Genomic DNA, 10,176 nt, shown 5'->3' on the forward strand with positions numbered 1-10,176 from the left:
TGTCTCTGATTTCATTATCAAAGCGAGGCCCCTTTCTATTTCTCCATTTCAATACCTTTTCTACTGACTTCAGATCTATCAGATGTTATAATTATTTCCCACTTGTGTTTGTGTAACTGTGTTCTGACTATCCACACATTAGGTGTGGGCTCTGTGAAAGCAGGGACCATATTGATCCTGTTCAATGTCATACCATATCCCTAGCATAGAACTAGTAGAGGCATAACAAAGATCTGTGAAAAAGTAAATGCATGCATAACTCAGTTGATCAATTAATGTACATCACTTGGCAGAAGAATAAAAGGATCACGAGAGCAGATGAAAGAAGACTTTATATTTTGCAGAAGAAAATTTTCTGTGTCTTCAAATGATCACAAATATAATTAATAAAGTTGATGAGGCTTTCTTCAAAATGGTGCTTGTAGAAAAAGTGAGAGAAAGGCAAAACAAGAGAAATAATATGGATATTTAGCATTCTGGATGTTTGCTAAGTGACAATTAAACCATAAGAATACACTTCACAGGCCGGGAGTGGTGGCTCACACCTGTAATCCCAGCACTTTGGGAAGCTGAGGCAGGCGATCACGAGGTCAGGAGATCAAGACCATCCTGGCTAACATGGTGAAACCCCATCTCTACTAAAAATACAAAAACAAAATTAGCTGGGCGTGATGGTGGGCGCCTGTAGTCCCAGCTACTCAGGAGGCTGAGGCAGGAGAATGGCGTGAACCTGGGAGCTTGCAGTGAGCTGAGATCACGCCACTGCACTCCAGCCTGGGCAACAGAGCGAGACTCCGTCTCAAAAAAAAAAAAAAGAGTACATTTCACTCCATTGTCGAGAGAGAGAGAGATATATATATAAAATACATATTAAATTATGTGTGTGTATATATATATATCTTTTAAGACCAATTTTATTGAGATATAATTTATAGACAGTTAAAGTCACTCATGTTGTGTATAATACAATTAGAATTTTGACAGATGTGTACATACAGTTGTATAATTGGTGCCACAATCAAGATATAAAATATTTCCATTACCCATAAAAAGTTTCCTCAGTCCCTTTTGTGGCCAATGAATCCCCACCTTCCTGCAACCAATGGTTTTCTTTCAGAGACTATAGTTTTTTGTTTTCAAACTTTCTGTGAATAGAATATTACACTGTGTATTTGATAATTGTTTTCTTTCAATCAGCATGGTGTTTTTAAATTCATCTATGTTATGTATATTACTACTTCATCCTCTATTTTTGCTTAGTAGTATTCCTTTTCTAGCTAGAAAGTAGTATCAAGATACTAAAATATATTTGTTCATCACTTGTTGGTAGGCAACTATAAATAAATTTATTGCCATAAGCATGTGTATACAAGCTTTCTGTGAGCATATGTTTTCATTTTTCCTGTATAAATTTCTACAAGTGAGATTTTGGGGTCATATGGTAAATCAGTACCAAAGTATTTTCCAAAGTAATGTATTATTCTTCATTTTCATCAGCAATATGTGGGAGTTCTAGTTGTTCTACATCTTTACTAATATTTGGAATCATCAATCTTCTTAATTTTAGTCATTCTTTTTTTTTTTTTTTTTTTGAGATGGAGTCTCGCTTTGTCTCCCAGGCTGGAGTGCAATGGCACAATCTTGGCTTATTGCAACCTCTGCCTCTCAGGTTCAAGTGATTCTTCTGCCTCAGCCTCCCAAGTAGCTGGGATTACAGGCGCCTGCCACCACGCCTGGCTAATTTTTGTATTTTTAGTAGAGACAGGGTTTCACCATATTGGCCAGGCTGGTCTTGAACTCCTGACCTCATGATCCGCCCTCCTTGGCCTTCCAAAGTGCTGGGATTACAGGCATGAGCCACCGCGCCCGGCCTTGATGACGTCTCTCTTTCACTTTTGTTCCTGACAGTCCAGACTGCACAATTTCGGATGTGGGAGACTGGGTGATTTCTTTGATCTTCCCAACCAAATATGACTTACTTAAGGATTTTACCTGTAAAATACATTATTAAAGGTTAAGAGAAGGGTGACAATGGTGGCCTCCTTAGCTTAACTGAATGGTTATGGTTTTTAGTTGTAGTTGCAATCTTATGCTTGTGTGGTTCTTTGATTAGTGTTTGCTTTCTCTATCCTATACTATTAGCTTCATGAGAATAGGAAAATTATTCCTCTTTGAACTCACCATTGTATTCCCAATTCTAGCACAGCGCCTGGGATTTCCTCTGTATGTGTTTTTGAAATGCACCCAATAGATCCACAGACAGATTTTAAAAATATAAACATAGAAACAAATCCTTCTGGTCTTGAAGCTTGAAACTTACATTTGTTTTCTCTGAGTTTCTTCCTCAGGAAATGGACTCTCAGCTCTCTCAAAAAGTATCAAAGAAGTGAAATTCATCAGACCACTGTGTCGAGACAATGAGATGCCAGATGCCAGATTCCTTATTTGTCATGATTGCTTCCTTAGCCCTCCCTAGTTCCTGTTTTCCTGCTCATAGTTACATTTCTTCCTTGCTATATAATCCCCTAATTTCGGCTGGTTGAGGAGATGGAATTGAGACTGATATCCCATATCCTTAGCTGTAGCATGCAATTAAAGCCTTCTTCCTTGGCAATATTCATTGTCTAAGTGATTGGCTTTCTGTGTGCAAGTAACAGAACCTAGATTGAACTCCTGGTATTTCAGTAACATTTTGTGTGTAAGAAAGAGGCTGGAGGAAGGAGAGTAGGGGAAATAGGAAGAGTGTCTTAATATTTTTGTTGCTATAACAGAATACCACAGACTGAGTGATTTATAAAGAAAATAAATGTATTTAGCTCTGAGGCCTAGGAATGCCAAGAGCATGATGCTGGCCTCTGGAGAAGGCCTTCTTGCTGCCTAACAACATGGCAGGGGGCATCACATAGTGAGAGAGCAAGAGCAAAAGGGCTTATGATAAGGAACCCACTACTATGCTAGTGACATTAATCCATTCATGAGGGCAGGACTGACATAAATCTATTCATGAGAGAAGAGGGATTAAGTTTCCAATCTATGAACTTTTGGAGGATACATTCAAACCATAGCAGAAAGACAGACAGAGATAGATATGGAAAGAGGGAACAAGCACACATCACACATACAAAAACTGGACAATATTTTTGTAAATGAAATGCCTAGAGCCTCTCTCGTATATTGTATTTGTTGATATTTTCTCAATTTAAACTTATCACTCCATAATTTCTCTTTTTCTTCCCCAAAATGATGTACATGTTTCTTCCTTATAACCATAAAACACAGTAATTGTTTCCTGGAAAATTTTAAACGTCTCACTACAATTCAAGTATCATACTTACTATATGTTTTTTATCTTCTGTATATTTTGAAAATGTAAGAGCATTATTGTCTTATACAAAATAGGTGCTAGCAGAGTGAAGAGACAACCAAAAATAACTCAATAAGAAATGGACAAATGATCCAAATAGACATTTTTCAAAAGAAGACATACAGGCCAACAGGCATATAAAAAATGCTCAATATTACTAATCATTAGAGAAAGGCAAATTAAAAACACTTTGAGATATCACCCCATACGTGTTAGGATGGTTATTATAAAATGACAAAATATAACAAGTGTTGGAGAAGATTTGAAGGAAAGGCATCATGGAAAATAGCATGGAGGTTCCTTCAAAAATTAAAAATGAACTACCATATGAACCAGCAATCCCACTACTGGGTATATATCCAAAGGAAATGAAATCCGTATGTCGAAGAGATATCTGCAACACCATATACATTAAATCTTATTTATATATTAGCCCAAGATGTGGAAACAATGTAAGTGTCCATCAATGGATGGATGAATTTTAAAAAGTAGTATATATACACAATGAAATACTATTCAGCCATAAAAAATAATGAAATCTTGTTATTTGTGACAACATGGATGAACCTGGAGGACATTATGTTAAATGAAACAAGCCAGGCACAGAAAGACCATATGATTTCACTTTTATGTCGAATCTGAAAAAGCTAAACTCATAGAAGTAGAGAGTAGACTGGTGGTTACCAGGGGCTGGACTTGGGGTGGGGAGTGGGGATGTTTATCAAAGGATTCAAAATTTCATTTAGGAGAGGGGAAATATTCAAGAAGAGATCTACTGCACAACATGGTCACTATAGTTAATAACAACATATTGTATTTTTGAAAAAAAATGCAAAGAAACAAAGTAAGTATTAAATAAAAACTGGTTCTTTGAAGCTTTGGCACTGTAATATATGAAGGCCAGAAGCCACATTTATATAGTTCCGTTTCTTGAGCATCCAAGACAATAGATGAGATGACAGTGTTGAGGAAGACAGGTCACTCACTGCGAACACTAGATTCAGCTTCTCCCCCTGCTGTTTGACTCATTCTGCAGGTGAGAATTTATCTGAAGGAGTTTACATATTTTTATGTGACAATGTATTCCTGAGAAGATACCAAATTCTTTCTTCTACATCAAAAATACAGCATGAAACTGACAAGAGAGCACATAAATGATGATTTTTTTTTAAGTTTCCAGGAATATCACATGTATCATATTACTGAAAAGAAAAAGAGCATTTTATGCCATGAAAAACTTTGGATATCCTTGAATAATGTTGACTAAAAACAGTGAGTTTATTTAGTATTCATTGTGTCTATATTTGGAGTGTATATTTTTAGTATTTGTCATCTTGCTTATCAAACTCCTGAATCTCACTTAAAAAGTATTTTCCAAAGTTTTTGAAATTTCTCCACAAAAGAAGAAAAAACAAAAAAGCAAGTATTGGAAGTCAAATAGGTTTGAGAAATATTATGACACATGTCCTTCTTGCACATCATAAAGCCTCTAACACTTTTCATAGTAAACCAATAAATGAAACTCAGACTTCTTGCTTTGCTTAATCAAAAAATTAAAGTTTTCCAAACTTCTTTGACTACAGAATCTTTTGACAACACAATATTGATCACTGCACACTTTGAGAGATATTACTCTACAAAAGTCACTGCACAGCACCACTAAAATATGGTGACTGATAAAACGGACAAAGGTCATTCAGTGAAAGTTTCAAAGCAAAGAGAATGAATGAATATATATATATATATATATATATATATATATATATATATATATATGGATGTCTACTTTTTGGATTACAGTTTTCAGATTATGTTTGTTTTAAATAAGCCAGTCTGCTTTCATAATAATTATACTTTTAAGCCATTTTCTGATGAGACATTTGTCATCATGAGAACAATGTAGTAAAAGTTTGTTACACTGGGGATTAAGATATTAGAGTTTCCATTCAAGATTCCCTAATACTGGAAGAGGTTCACTTAAATTCCATGATTCTATGAGAGGAGTCAAATCTGAGGTGCAGGCTCTGCACCTTCCCAGGCCTGCAGGGGCTTTGCACCTTCTTGCGGAACAGTTGCCAGCTGTTATCGCTTCACTCTTAGGTCACTGCCTTCAGTCAAGTCTTTTTTTTTTTTTTTTTTTTTTTAGACAGAATTTCGCTCTTGTTGTCCAGGCTTGAGTGCAGTGGTGCAGTCTCGGCTCACTGCAACCTTCGCTTCCCGGGTTCAAGCAATTCTCCCGTCTCAGCCACCTGAGTAGCTGGGATTACAGGCACCCGCCACCAAGCCCAGCTCATTCTTTTTGTATTTTTAGTAGAGATGGGGTTTCATCATGTTGGCCAGGCTGGTCTTGAACTCCTGACCTTGGGTTATGCACCCACCTTGGCCTCCTAAAGTGTAGGGATTACAGGCGTGAGCCACCATGCCCGGCCCCAAGTCAAGTCTTTTTCACAGCCTTGGTTCACCATAAAACTAAGGTGGACAATTGTCATGGACAGAATTGTGTTGCCTCAAATTTATGTTGAAGTCCTCACCTCTAGTACCTCAGAATGGGGCTGTATTTGGAAAGAGGACCTATAAAGAGGTAATTGAGGTAAAATTAGGTTATATGGGTGGGCCCTAATCAGTAAGACTGATTTCCTTGTAAGACAAGGAGATGTGGACAGAGACCACACACAGACCACAGGACAATCATGTGAGGACACAGTAAGAAGGTGGCCATTGGCAAGGGAAGGAGAGAGGCCTCAGAAGAGACCAAATGTGCTGATTCCTTGATCTTGGACTTCCAGCCTCCAAAACTGTGAGAAAAGAAATTTTTTATGGCTGCATAGTATTCCATGGTGTATATGTGCCACATTTTCTTAAAAATGATGAGTTCATGTCCTTTGTAGGGACATGGATGAAATTGGAAATCATCATTCTCAGTAAACTATCGCAAGAACAAAAAACCAAACACCACATATTCTCACTCATAGGTGGGAATCGAACAGTGAGAACACATGGACATAGGAAGGGGAACATCACACTCTGGGGACTGTTGTGGGGTGGGGGAAGGGGGGAGGGATAGCATTGGGAGATATACCTAATGCTAGATGACGAGTTAGTGGGTGCAGCACACCAGCATGGCACAGGTATACATATGTAACTAACCTGCACATTGTGCACATGTACCCTAAAACTTAAAGTATAATAATAATAAATAAACAAAGAAAGAAAGAAAGAAAAAAAGAAATTTATGTTACTTAAGCCACTCAGTCTGTGGTATTTTGTTATGGCAGCCCTAGTAAACTAATACAAATATTTTTAGGGACAACAAACCATGGACTTTGTTATTCTAGTAAGATGACTTTAGCACTATTACCTACTTCTACCTTGAAGTGGTAAAAAAAGGCAGTGAGAAGCATTTCCATGGAGTGTATAAATCGTGTCCCGTGAAACAGAATTAGCTAATAAGGTTAACACCTGTCAGCTGTATATGATGCTGCGTCTCCAATCTCCATCCGGACAACAAAGGGGAAGGCATGGACAGGAGACCTGCCTTCAGAAGAGCAGCTGACAAAGGGGCCCACAGCCTGGGGATGGTGACGGCAGTAGCCCCCCGAGGCCTGGGATCCCACAGCACAATTGTGAAGGGAAAGTCTTACTTGTTGGGCCCAGATGTGTAATTTTCTCCCACCACTGTTTTTTTGTGAAAAATTCTTCTGAATACATAATTTTGCCCCTAAATAAACATGGTGTTGGACATTTTTCTGACTAGGAAGTTAGGATATTTGCTTTTCTAGCATCTTTATTAGGTGACTTTTTATGTTTGCAAAGTCACTCAGAAAAAACTTCATCCTCCCAACACCTCCCTGGACCACAGTCCCCACAAATGACATTGAACTCACAACATAAAGGAACTCACCACTAGGTAAATAGGTGCTTGACTGTGATTTAACACCTGAATTACTAAAATTGATGGCAATAATTATCCAAAGAAAAACAGCCAAGTGCAGCAGTAACGACAGCCTCTGAACTCTCTCCACATCTTCTTGTGGACAGCCTTTGAGCTCTCTCCATGTCTTCTCCGGGACAGCCTCTGAACTCTCTGCACGTCTTCTTGCAGACAGCGTCTGAGCTGTTTCCATGTCTTCTCCGGGACAGTCTCTGAGTTTCTGAGCTCTTTCCACGTCTTCTCCGGGACAGCCTCTGAACTCTCTCCACGTCTTCTCTGGGACAGCCTCTGAGCTCTCTCTTGTTTGGGACATCCTCTGAGCTCTCCACGTCTTCTCTGGGACAGCCTCTGAGCTCTTTCCACGTCTTCTCCGGGACAGCCTCTGAGCTGTCTCCACGTCTCCTCCAGGACAACCTCTGAGCTCCCTCCACATCTTCTCTGGGTCTCCTGTGGAGTCTGATCACCTTTCAGTTAAGGCATCTCCTGTGAGCAGCCCAGTTGGCTACTCTGAGTTCTGGGGGTAGCTGTCCTTGGTTTCTCTGAATTGCCCAGAAACCAACCTTTCTGTTGCCCATCGTAGTGCCTACGTGGCTTAGCTGGAGCCCTACCCTGCTTTTGTTGCCCAACCAATGCCTATGTGACAGAGCTAAATTCCCATTCAGCTTTAACTGCTTAGTTTTAGAAAACAGGATGTCTGGGGTCAGAAGTTCCTTCTTAGGACTAAACTGGCTGAAGCTGGCAAAATCCGCAATGGCAGCTTGACCTCTGAAAAACCTCTAGCTTCATTATGATCCAATTTCCATGCTAAACGACACTCCCACTGGCACCTTGACAGTTGACAATCACCATGACAATGGCCAGAAGAGACCAAAAACAGGCAGAAAAGAGGTGGCTCTTTGATTCCAAAAAAACCTACCTCCCTTCCCAAGAAAAGCTATGAATATTTCTCCCTTTCCTCTGTATACCAGCCCCTTCATTAAGAATCCTCAGTTCTCAGGCTCTGAGAAGTTGATTTGCAGGCTATGCTCCCACTTCTGCAATTCCATGGCCATTGAAAAAAGCCCACACTGTTTGATACTCACTCTTGGTTTGGTGTATTGGCTTCACACCAAACAAGAAAGAGCTCCTTTAGGGGTAGTCAGGACCCTGATTATATTCCCACATAGAAACTGTTCCCACTCACTACTGGCACAGCAGAACACATAAACTGTCAGATGGCTCCATTTCAATGATTTGACTTGTAATTCTCAATTGTTTCTGTTCCTAAGATTTTAGGACTTTCTATCAACTCATAAAAAAAATCTTTAAAAAGGTAAGGCAACCTTCAAATCTAAGATGCTCAGCTTTAAACTAGTAAGTTCTTAAGGATGTTTTTTTTCCTCCAAGGAAACAATTCTCCTCTTTGCTGAGCAATAATACAGGTTTTAATATTAAATAAGTACACAAAGTAAAAGAAACAGACAAAAATGTCTTCATAGCAAGGCTGTTAACAGATTTCTTTCTTTTTTTTTTATTTTTGAGATGGGGTCTCACTCTTGCCCAGGCGGGAGTGCAGTGGCACAATCTCAGCTCACTGCAACCTCTGCCTCCTCAGTTCAAGTGATTCTCCTGCCTCAGCCTCCCAAGTTGCTGGGATCACAGGTGCCTGCCATCACGCCCGGCTAATTTTTTTGTATTTTTAGTAGAGACGGGGTTTTGCCATGTTGGCCAGGCTGGTCTCAAACTGCTGACCTCAGGTGATCCGCCCACCTTGGCCTCCCAAAGTGCTGGGATTACAGGCATGAGCCACCGTGCCTGGCCAGATTTCTAATATACGTAAAGAAAAAAGAAAAATTTTCAAATACTTGTTTAGATAAGTACTGATATTTAAAAAAACAACCAAGCCTAAATCCCTAGATTTACAATTTTTAAAAAATAAGAAAAGCAATGTAATTCACAGAATAAAATCTTTTGGAGTAAAGTAATATAACTCTAACAAATTGGTAAATCTAGGCAAGAAATGACTTGCCCAAGTAACAGACCTAGTAGGTGGAGAGTTCATCTGACTCCAGAAACCACACTCTACAAAATAAACTTATTGACGTGAAGAATGTATATAATCTGTAACTGGTGTGAAACTGTGGCAGAAATACAAAGAGCCGTGGTCTTGCTCATGATGTTCAAAGGCAATAGTTGAACTGAGGGATGGCTGTGTGAATTGAAGTGGTCACTGGAGAAACGTGGTTGAGATTGTGAACCATGGGGAACAGGGGGTGGTAATTCCGGATTTTCGGCATAGAGGAGAAAGAAAGAACTGCAAACATCATTACAGTGAAGGAGGGTGAGGCCCTCCGAAAACTGATTGCTTTTCACCAGAAACACTGATCCAGTGGGGGCAGCTGAAGCACGAAAATGATTAGAACCAGAGTGATGTCACCCACTTTTCTTTCTTTCTTTCTTTCTTTTTCTTCTTTTTTTTTGAGACAGAGTCTTACAGTCTCGCTCTGTCTCCCAGGCTGGAGTGCAGTGGCGCGATCTCGGCTCACTGCAAGCTCCGCCTCCTGGGGTCACGTCATTCTCCTGCCTCAGGCTCCCGAGTAGCTGGGACCACAGGCTCCCCCACCATGTCCGGCAAATTTTTTTGTATTTTTAGTAGAGAGGGGGTTTCACCGTGTTAGCCAGGATGGTCTCGATCCCCTGATCTTGTGATCTGCCCGCCTCGACCTCCCAAGGTGCTGAGATTACAGGCGTGAGCCACCGTGCCTGGCCGATGTCACCCACGTTTCTTAGGAAAGACGTTAGCATCCTCTAAATCCTCACCGACTGTGCCTGGCGCAGCATTATTTTGCAGTTTTCTGGGATTTACAGTTGGCATCATTTGCACAGCGGCAGCGTGACGTGG

At 40.0% G+C, this 10,176-nt stretch overlaps 1 long non-coding RNA gene across 1 annotated transcript, besides 1 other annotated feature; it reads right to left on the reverse strand.

Moving 5' to 3' along the window:
* Positions 1 to 897: 897 nt before the first annotated feature.
* On the reverse strand, positions 898 to 8,053 carry FAM74A3 (family with sequence similarity 74 member A3). The gene is made up of 2 exons (NR_026801.1): positions 7,266 to 8,053; positions 898 to 1,992 (listed from the first exon to the last, which is right to left on the reverse strand). It is a non-coding gene; the product is annotated as a family with sequence similarity 74 member A3 (long non-coding RNA).
* Positions 9,676 to 10,176: an enhancer, noted in NCBI's record as "H3K4me1 hESC enhancer chr9:40713401-40713901 (GRCh37/hg19 assembly coordinates)". NCBI's record gives its function as "activates a minimal SCP1, AML or CMV promoter by ChIP-STARR-seq in naive H9 embryonic stem cells {active_cell/tissue: H9 hESC(naive)}" and the evidence as "EXISTENCE:reporter gene assay evidence [ECO:0000049][PMID:30033119]".

Source organism: Homo sapiens, chromosome 9 (genome assembly GCF_000001405.40).
Source record: "Homo sapiens chromosome 9, GRCh38.p14 Primary Assembly".
Classification (NCBI taxonomy): domain Eukaryota; kingdom Metazoa; phylum Chordata; class Mammalia; order Primates; family Hominidae; genus Homo; species Homo sapiens.